General features: G+C 32.8%; 1 protein-coding gene across 16 annotated transcripts in view; it reads left to right on the forward strand.

Moving 5' to 3' along the window:
* The window catches only part of VRK2 (VRK serine/threonine kinase 2), a 252329-nt gene that overhangs the window by 151361 nt on the left and 73831 nt on the right, over positions 1-27137 (forward strand). For 12 of the 16 annotated variants that reach the window (NM_001288837.2, NM_001288838.2, NM_001288836.1 and 9 more), the window contains 2 exons: positions 25137-25186; positions 25929-25998. In NM_001288837.2, coding sequence (NP_001275766.1) covers positions 25137-25186; positions 25929-25998 — 120 coding nt within the window. Of the gene's footprint in view, positions 1-25136; positions 25187-25928; positions 26048-27137 lie in introns of those variants that run through there. The other 4 variants (NM_001288839.2, XM_047445748.1, XM_047445747.1 and 1 more) reach the window with 2 other exon arrangements.

Consider the following 27137-nt stretch of genomic DNA (forward strand, 5'->3'; position numbering starts at 1 on the left):
CATGCTTATAACAAGCTCATTTCTAAAGTAACAGCAAAATATGTAACTGATAGTATTGGCAGCTAATTTAAGAAATCTGTTAGTGATGATGCTAATAATGGTGTCATTTTCATTCAGATTGACAAGGCATAGAGCATCAGTGATATGTTTTTGATATTATTAAGATCTCAAAATCTGTGAAAGAACATCTGATATTTATAGTAAACCTAATGTTAGGCACTGGAACAATTACATTAAAAATGTACCATACCTCAAACAATATTTTTATGGAAAAAATTGCGAATAGTCATCCAATAGTTCATGCAATCTGATGAGAAAGATTTGTTGGATTTTCATGCCTTTGCAAAACTGAATACATTTGTCTAGTTTTATACATTTTATACATTTGTTTTGAGTCAAATAAGCAACAGGAAGATCTAAATAGACCTGTTTAAATCTCTGTGATATGATTTTAATAAGCACCATATAAAAATAGATACCTTTATAAATATTGAATGATTCTTGACTATATTTTTTCATTGGATAATAATTTAAAGATACACTGCTTAGAAAAGTAGGCCTTTTAAAGAGTAAAACAAACAGAAAATACTTAAGATAAATAGGATCGTGTTAACATATCCCTTTATGGAATTTGTTTCAGATACCACTATATTTTAGTTATAATAAAAGTCTAGGTTTTGGAAAATTATTTTTAAATAACTAAAATTAGTTATTTCAAGATATTATACAGTAGTAATGATTATTATATACTCAAGGGTGATTTCATGAAAAAGTTAGAACATTTCATGTAGTGGTAAACCTTTGGGTGTTTATAATAGACAACAGATAGTTATTAGCTATTACAATGCAAGATTTTATACTAGAATACTTTTTTATTTGGTGTATATATATTTAGCAAGGAAAAGAATGAACAAACACAAGTTACTACATTAAATACATGTTCTTGAGCAGTTACAGGGATATGGGATTATTAATGTCAAATTCTGGAGAATGTAAAGAAAAGCTATTCATTATACTTGATCTTGTTTCTATTAAAAAATCATGTATTACAGTTCTATCTTACATCTCCAATGTCAAATGTATTATAATTGAGAATGGAGAATTAGTTATGTAAACCTTTTATCTTACACAGTGTAAGGAGGATAGTAGAAGAAAAAGTAGTAAAACCAACAACAACAACAAAAAAATCCCACACAAGACACTTCAAGAAAAGTGAGAAGAAAACAAAACAAACCTGTATAGCTAACAGGTAAATGTTGCTGTGTGATGAAAAGAGGAAGAAAAAATTGCCTAGTCTTCCAGAATAATCAGAATGTCTACTCTAGCAGAAAGCTTTTGAGCAAGATAAATCTTCTGAAATTAACTAGTTTAATGTAGATTGACTATAATAAAGAACTGCTGTAAAAAATAAGTATTTTTTTGGGGAGGGGAGCACTTTTAAGTTCCTTCTGACTGTGAAAACCTGTTAAATCCTGAAAGAGGGAGTTAAATTTATAAATGATCTGTTGATATTGGCACATGGATAGAGGCCTTAAGGCAATAATGGATGCAGCTGGTAAAGAAGCAGATCTCAGTCACAGAAAAATGAGATAAAGAGACCATCAAGAAGAAAAAATAATGGTTCTATTATCTGTTTATGTAGTATATCTTTGGATAGTTAAGAATATCACATGAAAATGTAAAGACATGCAAAATAAAGACCATAATGAAAAACGTGAGAAAGATTTCCCTTATTTACAGCCTAATTTCAGCATAAAGATTAGAAAGTGCTTCAAAAGAGCAGGGCTAAAGATTCTTACATACTAGGTTTTTAAACCTAAATTACAGAATTTACAGTATTATTTAAGGAAGGGAGGTCAACTACTTCAGCTCTCACTTCATACACTTTGAAAATAGGATTTATGATGGCTAAGAAAAATAATAGCTCTCATTCTATTGTATGGCCAAATTGAATGTCTCTTAGGAGGTAGAAGGAAACATTTGAGGTCTTAGTAAACCTGAAATCATTTCTTAATAGATTATCGCTAAAATAGGCTTGAAAGGAGTGTATGATTGAAAATGACTTACAAGAGATAAATGAGTTAAAATATTAAGAAAAGATTTGATGATATAAAGCAAAACCAGTTTAGTAAAACTTGGGGGATTTTTTTTAAGAACTGTAAGTTATGAATGTAGAGTTTCATAACAAAATTCAAATTTCTAAATTAAATTGATGAACTGTGGTTCAGAATTATAGGGTTAACAGTTAAGTTACATATCAACCCTTTAGGGAAGCTCAAAATGTATTTAGTTAATAATAATAAAAACAGCTAAGTTAGAGTTTATTAGTGTTAATGTTTGAGAAATAGATAAATGGGTTGGAAGATATAATTTGTGGTAAAATGAAATAAGTATGTAATATATACCACAACCAGTAAGTAACTGGCCAAAGACAGCAAAGAAAAATAACAATTATATACATTAGTGTATTATAATAAAATTGTCAGTTAACTACATTGGAAAAAAAGTCTGTAAGCCTCAATTAAAGAAGATCAGTGACAGAACTTCATAATCGGTTGCCAAAAAAGCAATACTTAAAATGATAAGATATAAAGACACTAAAAGGTTAAGGTTTTTCATGCACATGTAAGTAAACAGTAAAGCAATAGCAGGATCTGTTGTTATTTTATATTCCACAGTAAAAATCATTAAGAGAGCTAAACAAGGATGTATATAGGGTAAAAGGTTAGTAGAACAAAGTGAAAATGTAATGATAGAATATAATATAATGAGAATGCTATTGTTTATTTTTATCCTTGAAGAGAAAGCAGACCTTCAATAAGAAATTGTAAATATGACTGGAGATATTATAAATAAATTCAGAAAATGACAAACCAGTTACCACTAAGTCTTCACACTGGTCTGTATGGAACCCAGGTGTAGAGGTGAAAGGGGTAAGGGTTCTGGTCTCCTGTCCCATGTTTCAACCTTAGCATTTCTGCTTTATCTGTTGCATATTCAGGCTTACCTTGTCTTATTGCACATCACTTTATTGTGCTTTGCAGATACTGTGTTTTTTTACACACTGAAGGTTGTGGCAACCCTGCATCAACCAAATCTATTAGTGCTATTTTTCCAGCAGCGTGGGCTTCATGCATGTCTCTATGTCACATTTTGGTCATTTTGACAATATTTCAAACTTTTTTGTTATTATATCTGTTACGGTGATCTGTGATCAGTGATCTTTCTTGTGACTATCATAATTGCTTTGAGGAATCATGAACTGCACCCATACAAGACGGTGAATTTAATTGGTAAATGTAGCACATGGCCTGACTGCACCACTCACCAGCCATGCTCCCATCATTCTCCCTTTCCTCAGACCTCTCTATTCTCTGTGATACAGCAATTTTGAAATTAGGCCAATTAATAACCCTAACGTGGCCTTTAAGTATTCAAGTGAAAGAAAGAGTTATGCATCTCTCACTTTAAATCAAAAGCTAGAAATAATTAAGCTTAGTGAGGAAGGCATGTCGAAAGCTCAGATAGGTTAAAGGCTAGGCCTCTTAAACACCAGTTAGCCCAATTGTGAATGCAAAGGAAAAGTTCTTAAAAGAAATTAAAAGTGCTAAAGTGAAGCAGCCTTACTGCTGATAAGGAGAAAGTTTCAGTGGTCTGGATAGAAGATCAAACCAGCCACAACATTCCCTTAAGCCAAAGCCTAATCCAGAGCAAGCTCCTAACTCTCTTCCATTCTGGGAAAGCTGAGAGAGGTGAGGAAGCTGCAGAAGAAACGTTTGAAGCTAGCAAAGGTTGGTTCATGAGGTTTTAAGGAAAGAAGTCATCTCCAAAACATAAAAATGGAAGGTGAAGTGGCAAGTGCTGATGTAGAAGCTGCAGCAAGTTATCCAGAAGTTCTAGCTGAGATCAATGATGAAGGTGGTTACACTAAATAACAAATTTTCAGTGTAAATGAAACAGCCTTCTATTGGAAGAAGATACTGTGTAGGACATTCATTGCTAGAGAGAAGTCAATGCCTGGGTTCAAAGCTTCTAAGGACAGGATGCCTCTCTTCTTATGGGCTAGTGCAGATGATGACTTTAAGTCGAAGCCAGTGCTTACCATTCAGAAAATCCTAAGGCCCTTAAGAATTATGTTTACTATCTATTCTGCTTGTACCCTGTAAATGGAACAACAAAGCCTGGATGACAGCCCATCTTTTTACAGCATGGTTTACTGATTTTTTTTTTTAGTTTTATTTTTCTTATTTTAAAAATTGTGTATATTTAAGGCATATGTCACAGTTTTGTTTTTTTTTTTTTTTTAACATATGAGTGAGAACAACTGTCCCTCACCTATTTTGGGAGAAGAGGGTAGATGAAGAAGAAGTGGGTTAAAGGGTACAAACATACAGCGAGCTAAAAGGAATGAATTCAGTGTTTGATAGCAGTGTAGGATGTCTATACTTAACAAAAATGTATTGTACTTGGGTAATGGGCACCCTGAATACCCTGACTTGGTCACTATGGTTGTATGCATGTAACAGATTTTCTCATGTACCCCATACATTTGCATGAATAATAGAGTTTACTGAATATTTTAAGCCTGCTGTTGAAACCTACTTCTCAGAAACAAAAAAATTGCTTTCAAAACATTACTGCTTGTTGACAATGCACTTTAGTTACCCAAGAGCTCTGATGGAGATGTACAAGGAGATTAATGTTGTTTTCATGCCTGCTAACATAGTGTCCCTTCTGTAGCTCATGGATCAAAGGAGTGACTTTAACTTTCAAGTTCTTACTATTTAAGAAATACATTTCGTAAGGCTTCAGCTGCCATAGATAATGATTCCTCAGATGGATCTGGGCAAAATGAATGGAAAGTCTTCTGGAAATGATTCACCATCCAGATGCCATTAACAGCATTCATGATTCAGGGAAGGAGATAAAAATAGCAGTGTTAACAAGAGTTTGGAAGAAGTTGTTTCCAACCCTTGTGGGTGACTTTGCGGGGTTCAAGCCTTCAGTGAAGAAGCAACTATAGATGTGACAGAAATTGCAAGAGAACTGGAGTTAGAGCTGAAAACTGAAGATGTGACTGAACTGCTCAATCTCATGATAACATTTAATTCATGAGGAGTTGCTTCTTAAGAATGAACAAAGAGAGTGGTTTCCTGAGATAGAATCTATCCTGGTAAAGATGCCATAAACATTGTTGAAATGACAGCAGAGTTTTAGAGTATTACATAAATTTAGCTGATAAAGCAGTAGCATGGTTTGAGAGGATTGTCTTCAATTTTGAAAGGTCTGTTGTAGATAAAATGCTAACAAACAACATTGTGGGCTACAGAGAAATCTTTTGTGAGAGCGAGAGTCAATTGATGTGGCAAACTTCATTGCTATCTTTAGAAATTGCCACAGTCACCGCAGTCTTCAGCACCCACTACCCTGATCAGTCAGCAGCTATCCACATCAAGACCCTCCACAAGCAAAAAGATAACTTGCTAAAAGTTCAGATGATTGCTAAAATTTTTTTAGCAATAAAATATTTTTAAATTAAGGCATGTACGTTGTTTTTTAAAAGATACTGCTGTTGTACCCTTAATAAACTACAGTATAGTGTAAATATAACTTTTATATGTACTGGGCAACCAAAAAATTCACACTACTTGCTTCATGGCAATATTCATTTTATTGCATTGTTGTGGAACCGAACCTGCAGTATCTCCAAAATATCAGGATTCCAAGAAACATTCCATTACTAAAAGAGTTTGAAGATAACTGATTGTGCTATAATAATAAGTTATAAAGTGAAATATGTAATAGGAAAAGTTTTAATTTGGAGGGTTTTTAACAGTGTTACAGATAATACACTTTTTTTTCAAGTATACAAGAATTTATTTTAAAAATATGTGTGATTAAGAAAACATAAACATTTTTAACATGTCATAGTTTTGGAATCTAATCCAGGAAACAAATACCAGTATCACTTTGCTTGTTCTGTTTTTCTCTTTATCACTTACCTTCTTTCTCATTTCTGCATATTCAGTTTGTGCTCATTTCAAGTCCACCTTCCCTTGAAGCCTACTGCTTTTCTTTGTGCATTTTCTACCACAGTTTTACATTGTGTATTTATTTTCTGCAATATTTTTGCTTCTATTTTATAACTAAGCATATTCTATTTTGTATTATGATTATGTACTTGTATCTTTTTTCTTATTTATAAAAATAAAGAGAAAAAAATCTTTGTACATTTCTGTGAATTTTAACACACCCACCAACATAATTAGGATACAGGACAGATTCATCACCCTAAAATCTTCCTCATACTATCCCTTTGTGACCATAACCTCCTTTTACCCCTAATCTCTGGCAGCCATTGATCTATTCTGCATCACTATAGATGTGGCTTTTGGGGAATGTATGGGATTACTATAAATGGAATCATGTAATATGTGTCATTTGTGATTTTTTTTCCACTTAGTGTAATGCCTTTGAGATTGACCCAAGTTGTTGTGTGTGTCAGCAGTTTTTTATTGTCAAGTAGTAGTCTGTTGTATGAATGTATCACAGTTTGTGTATTCTACCATTGAAGGACATTTGGGTAGTGTGATTCCTTCAACTTTTTCTTCAAAATTGTTTTAGCTATTTTAATTCCTTTGCTTTTCCATATACATAATTAATTTATATTTCCAGAACAACGACAACAAAAATTGCTGGGATTTTAATTGATATTGAGCTAAATCTATTGATAAATTTGGGGAAAATTAACATTTCTACTATGTAAAGTCATCCAAACCATAAGTACAGCATGTGTCCTCATTTCTTTAGGTCTTCCCTGATTTCTTATATCAGCTTTTTGTAGTTATTAGCATACTAGTCCTATACATGTATTGTTGGGTATATATTGATATATACATTTTTTGGAGCTATTGAAAATGTTCTTGGTTTTTAAATTTTAGTTTCCATTTGTACATTAGTAGTATATTAGTAGTATGTTGTGTGTTGTGTGTTGTGTGTTGACCTTACATGCTATGAATTTGGTAAACCCAGTTATTCTAGGATTGGGTTTTCTTTTGTGGCAGATTCTTTGGGAATTTCCACGTACACAATCACATCATCTGGAGATAGGGACACCTTCCTTTCCAAATGTGTGCTTTTCATTTATATTCTTAACTTCCTGCGCTGGCTAGGACTTACAGTGATTTATTGAATAGAAATAGCGAGAGTGCTCATTTTTGACTTGTTCTCATTTTTAGGGAGAATGTATTCAGCTTCTCACTATTCAGTGTGATGTTAACTGTAGGTTTTCATACCTGCTCTTTATCAAGTTAAGCATACTGAGTTTTGATCATAAAAGGGTGTTGAATTTTGTCAATTGCCTTTTCTACTTCAATTGATATGATCAGGTGGTTCTTCTTTAGATTATTAATATGGTAGATGACATTGATTTTTGAATATTGAAACATTCTTGCATTCCTCAAATTAATTTGATTATGGTGTATTATTTTTATGTATTTCTGGATTCCATTTGCTTATATTTTGAGAATCTTTCCATCTTTGTTAAGGAGGACTATTAGTGTATACTTTTATTTATTTATTTATTTCCCCTACCATCTTTGTCTAATTTTGTATCAGGGTAATCCTGGCCTCATAAAATGAGTTCTGAAGTATTCTTTCTTTTGTTTTCTGGAAGTGAGTGTGTAGAATTAAGTGTTACTCATTTTTAAAATGTTTTGTATAGTTATACAGTGAAGCTAACTGGGTTTAGAAATATCTTTTTCAGAAAGGCATTCTTTTAAAAAAAATGGTTTCACTTTCTTTAGTGGTTATTTAGGACTAATCTGGTTATTTGTTTTAGGTAACTTAGTAGTTCATGGTTTTTAAGGAATTGCTCCATTTGTCATCAGTTGTGATGGTTAATATTGTCAACTTGATTGGATTGAAGGATGTGAAGTATTATCCCTGGATATGTCTGTGAGGGTGTTGCCAAAGCAGATTAACATTTGAGTCAGTGGATTGGGAGAGGTAGACCCACCCTCAACCTGAGTGGGCAGCATCTAATCAGCTTCCAGTGAGACTAGAACAAAGCATGCAGAAGAAGGTGGAAAGAGCAGACTTGCTGAGTGTTCCAACCCTCATCTTTCTCTCCTGCTGGATGCTTCCTGCTCTTGAAGATTGACTGACATAAAGACTGCAGGTTCTTCAGCTTTTGGACTCCTGGACTCACACCAGTGGTTTTTCAGGGGCTCTCGGGCCTTCAGCCACAGATTGAAGGCTGCACTGTTGGCTTCCCTGCATTTGAGGTTTTGGGACTCAGACTGGCTTTGTTGCTTCTAAGCTTGCAGACGGCCTGTTGTGAGACTTCACCTTGTGATCATGTGAATCCTTAATACACTCCTTAATAAACTCCCCTTCATATATACATCTATATACATCTATTAATTCTGTCCCTCTAGAGAACCCTGACTAATACAGTTGTCAAATTTATGGGTATAGAATTGTTAATATTTATTATATTTAAATGTAATTAGGTTTTATAGTGATAGTCTCTCATTTTTGATGTTGCTCTTTCAAATCATGTTTTCTTTTTTGTCTTGATACAAGTTTATAGATTTTATTGATCATTTCAGAGAAATAGCTCTTGGTTTCATTTACTCTATTCCATTTCATTGACTTCTGGTTATTTTCTTTATAATTTTTTTCCATTAAGTCCTGCTTAGGCTATATCTCACAGATTTTTAAATATTGTGGTTGTCTTGTGTATTATATCTCCATTCATTGAAAATCCCTTCAGTTCATGTTACATGTTTTGCTCCGTCTGTTAAATATATTTTGAAGAACTGAAGAAGAGACACACAATCTATTACATTTTCCCAGTTATTGATCATGTTTTCTCTTCCTTTATTCCTAATATTCCAAATTTCCTTGTGTAACTTTTCTTTTTCCTCAATATCTTTTTTTCTTTTCTTTTCTTTTCTTTTCTTTCTTTTTTGTTTTTGTTTTGTTTTTTTTTGAAACAGAGTATCGCTTTGTCACCCAGCCTGGAGTGCAGTGGCACAATCTTGGCTCACTGCAGCCTGCACCTCCTGGGTTCAAGCAATTCCCCTGCCTCAGCCTCTCAAGTAGCTGGCACTACAGGTGTATGCTACGACGCCCAGCTAATTTTTCTATTTTTAGTAGAGATGAGGTTTCACCATGTTGCCCAGGCTGGTCTCAAACTCCTAACCTCAAGTGATCTGTCCACCTTGGCCTCCCAAAGTGCTGGGATTACAGGCTTTTGTACTTCAATATCTTTCTTTAGAAATTCTTAACACAGCAAGTCTGCTGACCATTAATTCTCTTTAGTTTTCTTCACCTGAGAATGTCTTCATTTAGTTTCTTTTCCAAAAGGTATTTTTGCTGGATGTTGGATTGATAATTTTTTTCCCATCTTCATCATTTCTGATGATAAATTTGCAGTCATTTGAGCCATTGTTCCCCTATACATAATGCATTGTTCACTCTGGCTGCTTTCAAGATTTTTCTTTGTTTTTAGATTTCAGATTTGACTATAATGTGTCTGGGCATTGATTTCTTTGGGTTTATCCTATTGGGGGTTCTTTGACATTATTGAGTCTGTAGGCTTATGTGTATATAAAACTTGGAACATTTCAGTCCTTATTTCATCAAATGTTTTTTCAGTATCACAAGCTTCCTTCTCTTCTGGGATTCTACATGTTCAATGTTTTGTTACTGCCTATAAGTTTCTAAGGTGGTGTTCAATTTTTTCATAGTTTATCTCTCTGTTGTTTAGGTTGGATCATTTTCCTTTGATCTATCATCAAGTTCAGTGACTTTTTCTTATGTCATCTCCCTAATTGTATTGCACCCCCTCAGGAAAAAAAAAAAAAAAAAACAAAAACTCGGTTATGTATCTTTTAGTTTCAAAAACATCATTTGATTCTTTTTTGTATTTTCTGTCTTTGTTGCATTTTTCTGTTTTTCCCTTTGTTTCAAAAGTGTTTGTCTTTATTTATTGAAACATTTTTATAATGGTTGCTTTAAAGTCTGTCAGATAATTTCAACATCCCTGTCATTTTGTCATTATTATCTATTCATTGTCTTTTCATATATGAGTTTTTTTCTGCTTCTTTGTATGCCTAGTAACTCTGAATTATTTCATGGATATGTTGAATATTATGTTGTAAGAATTTGGGTCTCTTATTTCTAACAGAGAATACTGATATTTTGTTTTAGCAGATAGTCTTCCTGGTTGCATTCAGGCTTCAAGTTTTAACAGGTCTGTGTTTGGGGTACAGTGTTCGTTTAGTTTTCAATAGCAAAAGTATTGTTCAGGTCATGTGTGTTCCATTCAGTGACCAGCCTGGGACTTGGGTATTGGTAGTTTACTTATCGAAGTCTGTATATGCTGTTTAATGTTAGCTCCACGTATACACAGCTTGTGAGTGAGTCCAGGAGTTTATAAACAACTTGTTGTGGTGACGTTCCCAAGCTCTCTCCCTCCATGGTCTCCTTGGTACTTATTCTCTGGGATCTCCTTTTTAGGTTCTCTGACCAGAAATCTGGGCTTTTATTTACCGTGCCTTGCCATGCACCTGTGTCTGCGGAAAATGGCAAGAGGGTGTAGAGTATAAAAAGTTATTAGATACCACTCTCTTTTGGGACCACAACTCATTTGATTGGAGAGGAAAGTTTCCTTCCTTGAGAGTTTCAGATCTCTGTGTGTCCCTGCTGCTGCCGCCACTGTCATCACCACAGAATTGTTTGGGTGCTGGGATGGGAAAGAACCGAAAGGTGAAAAATAGGAAAAAAGAATAATGACATTTTCTGCACTCTCCGACTTAGGATATTCATTTCCTACTCTTCTTAACTAGAGAGCTTCTACTGGGGCATTTTTTGTTTGCCCCAGTGTCAACTTTCAAGGTTTGGGCTTCCTTGAGTTCTGACCGAAGGATACCAGAGGGGAAGAAATGGAATATCTGATTCAAGTATGATACTACTGTGAATTGTGACCTTTTCTCATAATCTACCTGCTATTGTATTATTTTTAATCAGGAGACTCTTAGAGCAATTTCAGGTTTGTGGAAAACTGAGCAGATAGTACAGAATTCTCATATACTACCTCTTTCTCCCACTGTTGTTATAGTTTTCTTTATTACTAACAACTTGAATTAGTGTGGTAAATATGTTATAATTTATTAAACAATATTGATACATTATTATTCACTAAAGTCCATAATTTAAACTAGATCTCATTAGTTGTGTTGTATAATTTTTTTGTTGTTATTTGTTTTTTCTTGAGATGGAGTCTTGGTGTGTTACCCATGCTGGTCTTGAACTCCTAGGCTCAAGTGATCCTCCCACATCAACCTCTCAAGTAGTTGGGGTTACAGACGTGCACCACTGTGCCCAGGTTTTATGTTATATAGTTTTATGGGTTTTGGTATATGCATAATATCATGTGTCCACCATTACAGTCTCATACAGACTAATTTCACTGCCTTGAAATTGCCTTGTGCTACACCTGTTTATTCGTCTTCCTCCCTGCCCCTAAACCTCAGGCAACCACTTCTCTTTCTCTTTTTACTGTTTCTGTAGTTTTGCCATTTTCAGAATGGCATATAGTTAGAATCCTACACTATGTAACCTTTTCAGACTAGCTTCTTTCACAAAACTATATGTTTTTAAGATTCCTCCATATCTTTTTGTGGCTTGATAGCACATTTCTTTTTATGGCTAAATAATAATATCACAGTTTGTTTATCCATTCACCTGTTGAAGTATGTCTGGGGGTGGATTCCAGTTTTTGTCAGTTGTGAGTAAAGCGGATATAAATGTTTTATGTGCGGATTTTTGTGTGAACATAGCTTTCAACTCATTTGGGTAAATACCCAGGAGTGCAGTTCCTGGATTGTATACTAAGACTGTGTTTAGCTTTGTAAGAAACTGCTAAACTGTCTTTCAAAGTGGCTGTACTATTTTATATTCCCACCAGCAATGAATGAGAATTCCTGTTGTGCTGCATCCTTGCCAGCATTTAGCATTGTCTGTGTTTTTGGATTTTAGCCATTCTAATAGATGTGTAGTTGTATCTCATTGTTTTAATTTGCAATTTCCTGGTTATATATGATGTTAAGCATCTTTTCGTATGTTTATTTTACACCTTTACATCTTTTTTTAGAAGTTTCTGTTAAATATTTTGCTCATTTTAAAATGAGTTGTTCATTTTTTATTGTTGAGTTTTAAGAATATTTTGTATATTTTTGATATGTCTTGTCAGATGTTTTGCAAATATCTCCTCCCAGACTGTGATTTATCTTATTATTTTCTTAACAGTGTCTTTGACAGAGCAGAAAATTTTTAATGTTAATGAAGTCCAATTTAACAGTTCTTTTCTTGCATGGATTATGCTTTTGGTATTATATCTGTAAAAACTCATTACCCTTAGGTCACCCAGATTTTCATCTGTGTTATCTTCCAGAAGTTTATCGTTTTTGCATTGTACATTTAGGTTTATGATCCATTTTGAGTTAATTTTTATGAAAGATCAGTGTCTAGATTCACATTTTTGCATGTGAGTGTCCAGTCCTAGTACCATTTACTGAAAAGACTACACTTCGTCTATTGAATTGCCTTTGCTTTTTTGTAAAGATTGACTGCCTATTTATATTTGACTATATCGGGTCTATTTCTAGGCTATCTATTACATTGATCTATTTGTCTATTTTTTTTGCAGTACCACATTTTCTTAATTATTGTTTATAGAAAGCTTTGAACTTGAATAGTGCAAGTCCTCTGACTTTGTTCTTCAGTATTGTGTTTGCTGTTCTGGATCTTTTGCCTTTATGTACAAACTTTAGAATCAATTTGTTGATATCCACAACATAACTTGTGTTTTTATTAGTATTGCTTTGACTTTATATATCAAGTTGAGGAGACTGACATCTTAAGAATATGAGTGAGTCTTCCTATTTATGAACATGATGTATCTCTCCATATCATGATGAAGATTTTCTTTCATCAGATGTTTGTAGTTTTCCTCATTTGTATGTATTTTGTTATATTTATAACTAAGTGTTAATATTTCTTTTTTGGTGCTAATTTAAATGGTATTGTGTTTAATTTCAGATTCCAGTTGCTCATTGATGTTATTTAAGAAAAAAACTGACTTTTGTGTATTAAATTTGTATTCTGCAACTTTGCCATACTGATGTATTAAGTCCAGGAGTTTTTTCTTTGATTCTTCTGGATTTTCAATGTATAAGATCATGTCATATGTGAACAAAGATGGTTTTATTTCTTCCTTTGCAATCTGTTTACCTTTTACTTCCTTTTCTTGTTTTATTGTATTAGCTAGGACTTTCAGTATGATATTGAATAGAAGTGAGAGGAGACATCCTTGCTTTGTTCCCAGTCTTAAGATGAAAGCATCTAGTTTCTCAGCAGTAAGTTTAATTTTAGCTATGGTTTTATTTGTAGATTTTTTTTATCGAGTTGAGAAAGTTTCTATCTATTTCTAGTATTACTGTGAATTTTTATGATGAATTAGATTTTGCCAAATGGTTTTGTTTTTTAATGTGATCATATGATGTTTCTTTTGTAGCTTATTAATGTGTTGGATTATGTTAATTGATTTTTGAATGCTGAACCAGCCTTGTATACCTGGAATAAATCCCATTAAGTTGTGGTGTTTAAATCTTTTTATGCATTGATGGATTTGATTTGCTAATGTTTTGTTGAGGATTTTTTTATCCATCTTTATGAGAGATATTGATTTGTAGTTTTTTTTCTTTTAATGTTTTTATCTGGTTTTGTTATTAGGGTGATGCTGGTTTTATAGAATTAGTTGAATGTTCCTTTGCTTCTGTTTTCTAGGAGAGATTGTAGAGAATTGGTATTATTTCTTCTTTAAATGTTTGTAGAATTCACCCATTAGCCCATCTAGGCCCACCCATCTAGATTTTCTACTATGTAAGTTTAGATAATTTATTTTAGATCTTTCTCCTAATCAGATATATGTATTCAATGCTATAAATTTCCCTTTAAGCACTACTTCTGCTGCATCCCTACATTTTTAGAAATTATGTTTTCATTTTCGTTTAGTTTGAAATACTTTTTAAAATGTACTTTGAGTTTTTGGATCCATGTGTTATTTAGACATATATTGTTTAAATTCCACGTATTTTGACTTTTAGTCATTAATTTCTAATTTAATTCCATTTTGGTCTGAGAACATACTTTGTATGATTTCTATTCTTTTAAATTTGCTGAGGTATGTTTTTTGGCCCAGAATGTTTTCTGTCTTAGTGAATATACTATGTGAGCTTGATAAGAATGTATATTCTGCTGTTGTTGGATGAGGTATTCTGTAAATACCAGTTAAATTCATTGATTGGTGGTGCTGTCAGTTCAACCGTATTCTTATTAACTTTTTGCCTGCTGCATCTGTCAATTACTGATGGAAGTGTGTTTAAGTCTCCGGCTATAACAGTGGATTTGTCTGTTTTTCCTTCCAGTTCTCTTAGTTTTCACCTCATGTATTTTAACATTCTGTTGGTAGTATATACACACTAAGGATTATTATGTCTTCCTGAAGAATTGACCCCTTTATTATTATTTAATATCCCTCTTTATTCCTGATTGTTTTTCTGGTTCTAAGTCTGCTGTATTAGGCTTCTATAGAGGGGCAGAACTAATAGGATTATATATATATATATATTTATATTTATATTTATATTTATATTTATATAAAAGGGAATTTATAAAGGAGTATTAAACTCACATGATCACAAGGTCCCACAATAGGCCATCTGCAAACTGAGGAGCAAGGAAACCAGTCTGAGTCCCAAAGCTGAAGAACTTGAAGTTGGATGTTCGAGGGCAGGAAGCATCCAGCATGGGAGAATGATGTAGGCTGGGAGGCTAAGACAGTCTAATCTTTTCACATTCTTCTGCCTGCTTTTATCCTAGCCACCTTGGCAGCTGATTAGATTGGGCCCACCCAGATTAAGGGTGGACCTGCCTTTCCCAGCCCACGACTCAAATGCTAATCTCCTTTGGCAACACCCTCACAGACAGGTCCCGGATAAATACTTTCTATCCTTCAATCCAATCAAGGTGACATTCAGTATTAACCATCACATCTGCTTTGTTTGATATTAGTATAGCTACTGTAGCTTTCTTTTGATTTGTGTTAGCATGATAGATCTTTCTTTGTCCCTTTACTTTTAATTTATCTGCGTTTTTATATTTAAAGTGGGTTTCCTATAGACATCATATAGTTGTCTTATTTTTTCAATCTACTCTGTCACTATCTGTCTTTTAATTGGTGTATTTAGATCATTAACATTTAAAGTGATTGTTAGTATATTTGCATTATTATCTGCTGTATTTGTAACTGTTTTCTATTTGTTATGCTTGTTCTTTCTTGGTTTTTTATCTGTTTTTTTTGCCTTCTCTGTTTTTAATTGAGCATTTTGTATGACTCCGTTTTCTCTCCTTTCTTGGAGTATCAATTCTTCTTTAGAAATTTTTAGTGGTTGATTTAGAGTTTGCAGGGCAACATTTACAACTAGTCAAAGTTTACTTTCAAATAACACTATACTACTTCACAATTAGTGCAGGTACCTTATAATTATTCTCTCCTGTCTCTTGCTGTAATTCATTTCACTTATTCATAAGCTATAATAACTCAACACATGGTTATTTTGAATAAACTTTTTGCCAATTAAAATAAAAAAATAAGCTTTTATTTTACCTTCATTTATTTCCTCTCTGGCACGGTTCATTTCTTTTGCAGATGTGAGTAATAACAGGTATATTATTTTCCTTCACTCTCAAGAGCTTTTTAAAAACATTTCTTGCAAGGTGGGTCTACTGTTGATGTGCTGGTAAGGTGTGGGAGAATATGAGACCTTTTATAATCTTACGACTAAATCTGCTTTTTATTTTTATTATTTAGTTTCTTTCCTATTTTATTTTAAGTTCAAGTGGTACATGGCAGGTTTGTTACATGGGTAAATTGTGCGTCATGGGAGTTTGGTATACGGATAATTTTGTCACCTAGGTAATCAGCATATTAGGTAGTTTTTCAGTGCTCACCCTTCTCCTACCCTATACCCTTAAGTAGGCGCCGTTGTCTTTTGTTCCCTTCTTTGTGTCCATGTGTACTCAGTGTTTTCCTTCTGCTTATAAGTGAGGACATGCAGTATCTAGTTTTCTATTCCTGTGTTAATTTGCTTAGGACAATGGCCTCCAGCTCCATCCATGTTGCGGCAAAGGACACGATCTGATTCTTTTTTATGGCTGTGTAGTATTCCGTAGTGTATATGTACCACACTTTCTTTATATAGTTCACCATTGATGGACATCTAGGTTGATCTTTGCTATTGTGAATGGTGCTGCAATGAACATTCATGTGCATGGGTCTTTTTGGTAAAGCAATTTATATTCTTTTGGGTATATACTCAACAATGGGATTGCTGGGTTGAATAGTATTTCTATTTTAAGTTCTTCGAGAGTCTTTCAACTGTTTTCCACAATGGCTGAACTGATTTGCATTCCCACCAGCAGTGTATAAATGTTCCCTTATCTCTGAAACCTCGCCAACATCTATTGTTTTTTGACTTTTTAATAATAGTCATCCTGACTGGTACAAGATGGTATCTTGTGTTTTTGATTTGGATTTACCTAATGATAAGTATAAACCTATTTTTTTGGTGGGGGGCCTATGCCCCAGGATGTGACCTTCACCAGTATTTCTCAGCTTCCTGTACCCTACTTAGGTGAGATAGGAAAGCTAGAAGAGGCTGGAGTGGTTATTTTTCTTCTCCCATGTTGATTAGGTTCTGGCAAAGTAGTTTCCCTTCCCCTGCTGGAAACAGGAGATTTTTCTGATATTCACTGTGAGAACATGGAGGGCTTATAGTAAAACTCTGCCCCAATAAGATGTGATTCTCTGTATTCACTTGTCTTTCCAGTTTTTGGGCACTGATTTGCCTTGTAACCTCAGTTCTCTGATGGATTAAAGAAAAGCTGTTGATTTTCAGATTGTTCAGTTTTTTTCTTTTTTCTCCCCCTTAAGAAGACAGGAGTAAGGACCTCCAAGCTCTTAATATGTTGAGTGGAAACCTCTCTTTACTTTTTAAGAGCCTTCTAATAGCTACTGTCTTCTTTTTTTTTTTTTTTTTTGGTCTATATTTTATAGCTGTTTTCAGTGGGAGAGCTACAGTTGAGTGTTCCTACTCCATCTTATCTGTACAGATGCTCCTTACAGTGGGGTTATGTCCTCATAAGTCCATCATAAATTGAAATTATTGTAAGTCAGTAAGGCATTTAATACATCTAGCCTACTAAACATCATAGTTTACCCTAGCCTACCTTAAATGTGCTCAGAACACTTTTATTAGCCTACAATTGGGCAAAATCATCTAACACAAAGCCTATTTTCTAATAAAGTGTTGAGTATCTCTTGTAAGAGTATCATACCTCATATCACTAGCTTGAGAAAAGTTCAAAATTTAAAAATTCGAAGTATGATTTCTACTGAATGCACAGTGCTTTTTCACCATTGTAAAGTAGAAAAACCCTGTTGACCATTGTAAGTTGAGGACTGTCTACATTTTTTTGAAATACTGATTTGTTTCCTTTAATGATTATATTTCTATTTAGGTTTTTTATTTTTTGAATTATTTTGGTAAATTATATTTTTTTCTAGGAAATTGTCATTTTTTCTAAGTTTTTAAGTTTACAGATGATAGTGTTTATCATTAGTTTTTTTCAAAATCTCATGCACATCTATGGTTTTGCTCTCTTTCCAGTACTCGCACAATTTTGTAAGAGGATTGTTACCTTTTTAAAGAGAAATCTTGAATATCACCTATTTTGTTTGTTTTTATACTTTAAAATTTTATTTTGTAACTTTTAATTTTTAAATTTTAAAGAGCTTGCAAAAAAAGAATGTTTCCATATTCTCTACTCGACTGCCCTAAATGGTGATATATTATAAAATAGCACATAGTACATTACATAGTTATCAACACCAGAAAATTAGCATTGATACAATACTATTAACCTATTTATATACTTCATTAAAATTTTGCCAGTTCTCCTACTAATGTCCTTTTTTGGTTCAAAATCCAAGATGACACAATATGTGTAGTTATCATTGTCTCTGTAACTCCCTTTGGGAAAATTCTTCAATCTTTTTTTGTCTTTTATGAGCTTAGCGCTCTTTTTTTTCTCCTCTAAATTATTTATTGAAATATTTTCTTTATAGGCTTTAAATACCTTAGTGTAAGCAGAACTTGAAATACAAAGGACAAACATTGTGTAGAACCTAGAACACCCTATCAGTTCATTGAATCATGATTTCCTCCACACAAGTCCTCGGATTCTTAATTTGTTGAATTGATCCTAGGCCTTTGTTGTCTCAGGATATTTTTCCTAAATCCTAATTGATTGACCAGTCTTATCTGAAGAATTCCTGCCCCCTACCCACAATCTGTGTAGGTGAGTTATTCTTCTGTCTCTTAGAAAAAGTTAGACTAGGCTGCAAAGAACCTATACCTCTAAGCGTCTCCTCCATTTTTTTTTTAACCTTCTTTAAATATATTTTTGGGTGTTTAAATGGGATTAGAAGTGTCATCTGGCCCCCAAAAGTGACCACTCTTAAACTAAAGATATTTCCATAATAATCAAAGCATAGTAATTTTCTGGGAGACTTCTCACTTCATCACATCCTTCCATACCCTCTCTGGCAGTTCTCTTGAACTTATCCTAGTGATTCTTCTTCCTATTGAAAAATAATGTGCGTACTGCCACAATTTACTGTAGAGTTCTGTTGTTAGTGGGATAAGGCCAACAATACCATGTAGAATTCTGTTGCTCTTCCTTCTTCATGCATGGAAATTTGTCTAAGTATTGTTAACTCCCTAGATGTCTCTATACTTCCAGCAAAGAGATAGCTGGCAACATAGTTTTGTCATTTCTTGGACAGAACTCTTTTTCTTCTCAGGCCAATGTGATAGCTTCTTAGCTTGCCCTCTTTCAGAATCCTTGTCTTTGGTAGCCCGTAAGGCTGCAGAATTTTTAAAACTGTGTTTGTATATACAGTTCAGTAGTGTTAAGTATATTCACATTGTTGTGCAGCAGATCTCCAGAATGTTCCCATTTTGCAGTACTGAAACTCTATATTCATTAAACAGTAATTCTCCATTTTCCTCTTTTCCCAGCACCTGGAAACCAGCATTCTACTTTTTTGTTTCTATGAATTTAACTACTCTAGATACCTCATAAATGTAGAATCATATAGTATTTGTCTTTTTGTGTGTGGTGTGGCTTATTTTACTTAGCCTAATGTCCTCAAGGTTCATTTATGTTGTAGCATGTGACATGATTTCCTTCTTTTTAAAGGTTGATTAATGTTCCATTCCAAGTATATGCCACCTTTTGTTTAATTATCTGTCCATGGCCATTTGGGTTGCTTCTACTTTTGGCTAATTGTCTGTAATGCTGCTATGAGCATGGGTGTGCATGTATTTCTTCAGGATCTTACTTTTAATTATTTTCAATACATACCCAGAAATGGGATTGCTAGATCATATGGTAATTTTATTTATTTTTTTGAGGAGCCGCCATACCATTTTTTATAGTGATGGGGTAATTTTATGATCCCATCAACGGTGCACAAGAGTTCCAATTTCTGTGCATCCTTGCCAGCATCTGTTATTTTCAAAATTTAAAACAAATTTTGTTTGTTTTTATAGTAGCCATCCTAATGGATAGGGGGTGATATTGTGGTTTTGATTTGCGTTTTTCTAATGATTAGTGGTGTTGAGCATGTTTTCATATGCAAGTTGGCCACTCGTATGTATCTTTAGAGAAATAGCTGTTCAAGTATTTTGCCCATTTTTTATTATTTTAGAGAAAGGGTAACTCTGTGTTGCCCAAACTGGTCTTAAACTCCTGGGCTCAGGCAGTCTGCCTGCCTCGGCCTCCCAAGTGCTTGGATTACAGGCATGAGCCACTGCACTGAGCTGATTTTGCCCATTTTTAAACTGGACTTTTGTTGATGTTGGGTTATAGGAGTTATTTATATATTCTGTATATTTACCTCTTAGGTGATTTGCAAAGAGGTTGACACTTTTGAAGAGTACCAGCTAGTATTTTGTAGAATGTCCTTCAATTTGGGTTTGCTTTAAATTCAGATTATGTGTTATTTAGTAAGAATATCATAGAAATGATATTTTGCTTCTCCCAGTACTATCAGTAGGTGCATGATTTATTGTATATCATTATTAGTGACATTAACTTTGATCCCTTTTAATAATTAAAGTGATATTTGCCAGGTTAGCCTGCCATAAATTCATTATTTTCCATTTACAATTAATAAGTGTCTTGTGGGAAGACATTGAATGTATTTGCATTATGTTGCTTTTAATCATCCATTTGCCTATCTGTTTTAATATCTATTAACGACTTGCCCCAATTATTACTTGCCCCAATTATTACTGTGACATTTGCCAAATGATGATTTTCTATTTTTATCATTTCTTCTACATATCTTAATTTATATTTATTAATTTATTTCAGCTGCAGGAAAGAGCTGTATCAACTCTCTCATTTATTTGTTTATTTATTTACTTAAATCAGTAGACAATGGATTTTTTTTCCTATGGGTTACAGTTCATTAGTATTAGGATGGCACAAAAGCAGTCATGATTACTTTCAATGGCAAAACCGTGATTACTTTTGCACCAACTTAATATTATAAATTTTATTGCTTAATTTGCTTAGTTTTATTTTCTCTGTCTCAACTCTGGAATCAGCCATTTCTCCAAGGAGCCCTGATTCATTTCATTGAAAATGATATTTAGAAGCCATAATATGGTTGCTAGGTGTCCTCATTTCTACTGAGAGATTATTCCTGTAGGCCTTTTCAGTTTCTTATTAATTTCTATTTATGTCATCATTTTTCTAAGTTATTAAGGGGAGCACTTAGCTCACTAATTTTTTAGTTTTCTTAAAATCAAAATATTTAGTGCTATAAATTTTTCTCCAGGTAACTTTTTTATTTGTTAATTTATTCACCAAATATTTAATACATGCCTGAGGCTCTATTTTAGGTGCTTGGAACACATCTGAATAAAGCAAAAATATTTCTTTATTTGTGGAGTTTACATTCTAGCAGAGGAAGACAAGTAATAAAAACACATTTTAACTGCATTCTAACTAGTTTTTATATGATATTTTTAGTATTCAGTCCTATCTATTTTCTGATTTCCATTGTGATTTCCTTTTTCCCCAGAGAACGTAGCTTTAATAATATGCCTTGGTATTTGTTGAGACTTGTTTTCTGGGTGAAAATATGGACAGTTTAAAAAAATATTTTAGATGGGTTTGAAAAGAATGTTTTTAATTATTAGTGTTTTTAAAAATCTGGCATGTAGAGAAAAAACTTAATTGCATTGTTTCAATGTATTTATTGTCTGCTTGCCTATACATTATGGGACTGTATTAAAATCTTTCACTATTTTTGTTGCAATGTTGTTAATTTTTTTTCCTGTTATTCTGCTAGTTTTTGACATGTATTTTGAATTACATTTTTAGATGATTTCAAGTTCATAATTATTATCTTTCTGTTGCACCATTCCTTTTGTGATTAGGTTAGACTAAGTTCATATCTAATCATTCTTTTTTCCTGAGATTTATTTGGTTTTGAAAATATTTGTTCTAGTCTTTTAAAGTTAGTTTGTACTTATTAATTTATTTTCTATATTTTTACTTTGTTCCTCTGCATCACTAGATTCTAGGTTTGTCTCTTATAAATACATTTATATTTTTAGCAGTCTGACAGTTTATTTCTTCAGCTGGTGAACTTAGTGTATTTAAGTTTATTAAATTTATTATAATTACTGACATATGTAATCAAATCTAAGATATTATGTACATATGTGCAGCCCATATTAGATGCTTAAAAAATTCAGAATTGTTACTTCCTCTTGTGTAATTTCTTTTGTGTTTCTGTAGGACCTGATTTAGATCTAATACCTAATGCTGCCCATTAAACTATGACAGAATACCCTTAAACTTTGTCTTACTTAAGGAACTCAGAATACTCAATTGTTGCAGTCATATCTTAATAAACATTTTTTTCATTGATATCAAATTCATGGCCTGCTGCTCTGTTTTGGTCTGGTTAATTACCTTTTCTACATACACAAGAATTTTTCTTCTCAGTGCCAAATCATTAAGTTAAACTCCACATGTAATACTATCAGCTATGTACATAACTCAGTTAAGTAAAGACAAATGGACAGACAGGATTGAGTGTGTGTGTGCATAAGCAATAAAAACTGTGTCATAACTGTGTGTGTTCAACAGCAGCTGTAAGATGTCATCACTTTTAAGATGCATTCAGATTTCAGAGATGTTAACATATGAAAAAATGTATGGCTAAAAATTGATTTATTCTGGTATTTTAAATTTTATCATATTTTGTATTTTTTTATTTATTCTAACTGTGTTTTCTTTTTCTTTAAACCTTTTTTTCTTGCCATCTATTAAATTGTTTAGATGTTCTTTGTTATCTTCTTTGCTCCTCTACTGATTTTGGAGTTATGAACCTCTGTTATTTTAGCATTTACCCTTAAAATTTCAAGGTATTCATTCTATTTAACAAACTGTAAGGTTAATCACTTTCCTACTTTTTTGGATAACTCAAGGGCATTATAGCATTTTAACTCTGATTATGTTTTTTCTACATTGTGTATTGTTTTTGTCAATGTTTTCAGTCTACCGTATTCTAGATTGCAGTTTTACATTTGTGTATGAGTATTTGATGAACATGTATTTAATGATGCATCTTATAATCCAAGACATCTTAGATTTCTCCACCAGACAGCAAAAGCATATACCATGTCCGTGTGTGTGTGTGTGTGTGTGTGTGTGTGTGTGTGTGTGTGTTTCGTCATTTAATTTCACTAGCTATAATGGGGCTTGGCTTACAGTAGAAAATAATTGTTTTATTAATTGAATATTTATTCTACTATAAAAAGACCCCCGTGGTAACCAGAACAATCTCTTTGTTCATATGAAGCACCCGTCTCTAAGAGCTTTCTAGTCTATTGATTTTAGACTTAGACCCTCCAATATAATCTGACTTGGAAGCTTATAGAGAATATTGTGTAGCTATCAAGTGATGACCGTAGAGATTTTCAGGTATGTGTCAACACATGATTATGTTCATTCAAAATGTGAAAGGAAAATTCAGATTATAAAGTATTAGGGATATAATGATTGAAATAGGCAAGGAGTCAGGCCTTGGACTGGTTGGACATCTTTTTTTTCCAGTGGTAACATAATCTGTTATTTATCTTTTTGAAACTCCCAATTTTCTTCTGTACTTTTTAGCTCATTACATTCTGTTGGGCTTAAAGATTTATTTGCTGCTGTGGTCACTTGCTTTTAGACAAGAGGCAAAACTTTCTACTGACATCTACCTCAGGTAGCAAAGACAAGTGCCTAAAGTAGGTACTGTTTTATGTGGGCCAAGGTTGGAACAGGATATTTCTCCTTAGCCTTGGAAACCATACTAGTAAAATAGTTTGTCATAGGGTGGGAACAAAGGTTTTCTCACCACTTCTTCTATACCAAGACTGGACTCTGTCCCCTGTGTATACTTTCTTAAGTTTTCTTCTTGGAAGAAAGTAGATCTGGCTAATCCACTCTTCCTGCAGTTTCCTTGGGACTATTGCATGGGTAAAAATGAAATAACTTAACATGAATGAAGGCGAAAAGATAATTTTAAGTGCTATAAGTAAGTTTAGTTTCTTTGTTATTGTAAAGAGGTCTGGGTTTACAATTTAATATTAGCTAGAACTGAAATAATACTTTCTTCAACTGGTTAGTAGCATTACTGATAATTAAAAACTGGAGAATGGTTAAAAAATTGTGTATGATTGGCTCAACTGTAATGTACAATTTATATATTTTAATAAAATTTGTGACATATTTATATCTAAGATGTGAATTAATGGAAAAAAGAGAACAGCTGACAGAATTAGAAGAAAGAAAAGGACAATGTTAATAATAGGACACAGCATTTTAATAAATATATTGAATATATAAAAATATATTGTATCTCAAGAATTTGATCCTGTTCTCAAGTCTGTTTCTTACTGATTTTCAATTGTAGTCAATACTAGTTCCACCTTTTTTCCTTTCCCTTTCCTTCAGATATCATCCAGACACTTAACACAGTGCCTGGCATATTCTAGCTTCTTGATAAATATTTTAGCTATTTAAATGAGTAAAGGAATGAATGGATGGAGAGTGAACAAATGAACAAATGACGAAGTTTTAGTCTTTTGCAGTACAAATAAATATACATGTAAATTTATTGAGATTTGAAAACAATCTTTTAATAATTTAGGTAATGTAGAGGAAAAGATTAATTTGTTTTAAAATGTGAACACTGGAGTTTTTAAAAGTAGGGTTATACCATCTGAACAACAAATGGAAAATAAGAATTAAATGAAGTAAGGTAACTTGAAATGAATTTATGAGATATGTATTCTTTAATGTAAAAGTAATTGATTAGCAGGTTCAGAAGAAATTTTTAAAGACTTTATTCTCATTTTAACCTTGCTTGTTCTAGAATTTTGTCAAGTATAAATTGTTTTGAACTTTCTACTTAAATTGAATCGATTTTTATTTCTGAATCATTATGAGTTCTAATTTAGTGCAATTGAATCAATGGATTTTACTGTGTATTATATATTGGCTTTAATGCCATATATCTATAAAATATTTCCCCCCACATTTTGGATCTATATGATTCATATTGTCTATTGATTCTGTATTTAAATATTTAAATATGGTTTATGATCAAGTGTATGGGCTGTGATGTCAGGCAGATTTGAGTTTCTGTCTCTAATATATTACCTCTTAGTGAGCAATTTATTCAACGTCTCAAACTTCAGTAGCATCTTGTATAAAATGGAGATGATTGATTCCTACTACCATAAAAGGTTGTTGGGATGACATAATAAACTTACATATGTAAAATGCTTAGCATAGTGTTTGGGATATGGTAGGTATTCAGTAATTGGGAATAACTATTTTTCTCCATTGTGTGTTTTTTTTGTCTGCAGCTTTCCCCACAAATAAACCAGAGAAAGATGCAAGACATGTAGTAAAAGTGGTAAGTGTTGCTCATAGATTTGTATTTCACATATATTTGACTTTTTCCTTTTCTGCTTTAAGAATGTTTTTCACGTTAATTTTTGTAACTATTGCCTTATCAGTAAACCTAATGTTATCATCTGTTTTGACGTTGTTAAAACATTAAAACTGGAGAACCTTTGTTTTTCTGTATTGCCAGCTATTACCCTGGTGTGTTATCTATCTAGCTATTCTTTCTCTTTCCCTCCCAAATGCCCTCCCACCCTCTCCACCTCTCTAATCAAGATGGTAAGGTCCTTAAAGGCAAGCATAGGGTTTTATTTCTTTTTGGTGTCCCCTGTACCTAGTATAATGAATGAAATATAGTAGACCATTCAGTAAAGGTATCATGTGTGAGTGGACCACAAGGAGAGTTTGCTGTGTATCACCTGGATGTATATGTTGGTATACAGTGAGTGTTGTATATGTTTATGTATACAGTTCTCAGTGCTTCTAGTAAGTGTTCTCTGTAAGAAAACTACTTTTATGTGTAAGACTGTATAGGGATAGTGGTACAATATGTCGTTTAAAAATTAGATTCTTCAAGTTTATTTAGTGTTTTCTGAGATTTTTAGTGGAAATCTGGTGCCTATGTTTTATAAAAAGTGATTCAAGTACTATTATATACTACATATATATGTTCATATTTTCACAGTTGAAATAACAATTCCATCTTTGGGATTATTTTTTTCTAGTAAAATTAATTATTCTTTTTTTTATAGGAATATCAAGAAAATGGCCCGTTATTTTCAGAACTTAAATTTTATCAGAGAGTTGCAAAAAAAGACTGTAGTAAGTAAAATTAGCAAAGCAAGCTACTTCCATATATGTGCTTGCTAAAGTGAGTGTTGATATTTTGGTCTTTTTCTGGCCTTCTGGAAAATTCTTTTCAATAGAAATTTTATTGTAAAGTGATACAGTTAACTGTTACAACATATAAAAGCAAGACAGATGGTATACAAATCTTGACATGACATACATAATGGGTTATATATTTTAAGTCAAAGTTGTTTCTACTACTTTACATAAAATGTTAGGTTGTTAATCTAAGCTACCAAGAGTTCCCTAAGTGTAAAAGATAGTAGAATGAAATTATTTCTTTTACAGTAAACCATTTGGATAGGACGGCTATAAGGAAAAAACATTAAAATGGGAAGTAGATATATGTATAAAAAAAGAACGATTGTAGAATGGATTGGGGCAAGGTGTGTGGAAATGTGAAAATGATTAAACTTTAAGATGTTTAAGAAAATGTTAGAAACTTGAATGCTGGAAAATTAATTGGAGCTGGATACCAAGTGTAAGAATGACCAGTTAGAAGACTTGAATGGGAAATGAATATAAGCAGAGAGGAAAAATAACAGCATTTTATAAATGTGATATAGATGGGCTAAGAAAAACATTAAAGAAGTAGACAGGAGTAATGACTGTATAGTCAAGGTCCTTTACATCATGTTTAAGAATAAGAGTGATGGGTCTGACCTCAATATTTAACTTAGTTTTTCTTAATAAAGTCTTCTAAACATTAAGACTGTAATCTTTACTAATTGCTTAAACTATGTCACAGTGACAAATAGAATCCATTAAACTTGATTGTTTATCAGTAGAGCTGTCTTAAACATAAAAAACATAGGCTAGAGTCATGAAAAAAATGATGAAAGTTAACTTTATTTAAGTGGATTTGATTTTTTGTAAACTAATCAAAACCAGTTTTTGTATAAAGTAATTTCAAAGTAAGATGGTTTTTCTGCCCAATTTCTGCTTTTTTTTTCTTTTTTTTTTTTTTTTGGTCCATTATGGTTTTAAATCTTGAAGTAATAGGGAAGAAAAAGCCATCTCTCTACTGATCTTTTGGTGGTTAACATATGTTATATTTAGAAATTTAGCTAGTATATAAGATAATGAATTCTTTTTATAGATTGAAACATTAA

The sequence above is a fragment of the Homo sapiens genome, chromosome 2 (genome assembly GCF_000001405.40).
Source record: "Homo sapiens chromosome 2, GRCh38.p14 Primary Assembly".
Taxonomy (NCBI): Eukaryota; Metazoa; Chordata; class Mammalia; order Primates; family Hominidae; genus Homo; species Homo sapiens.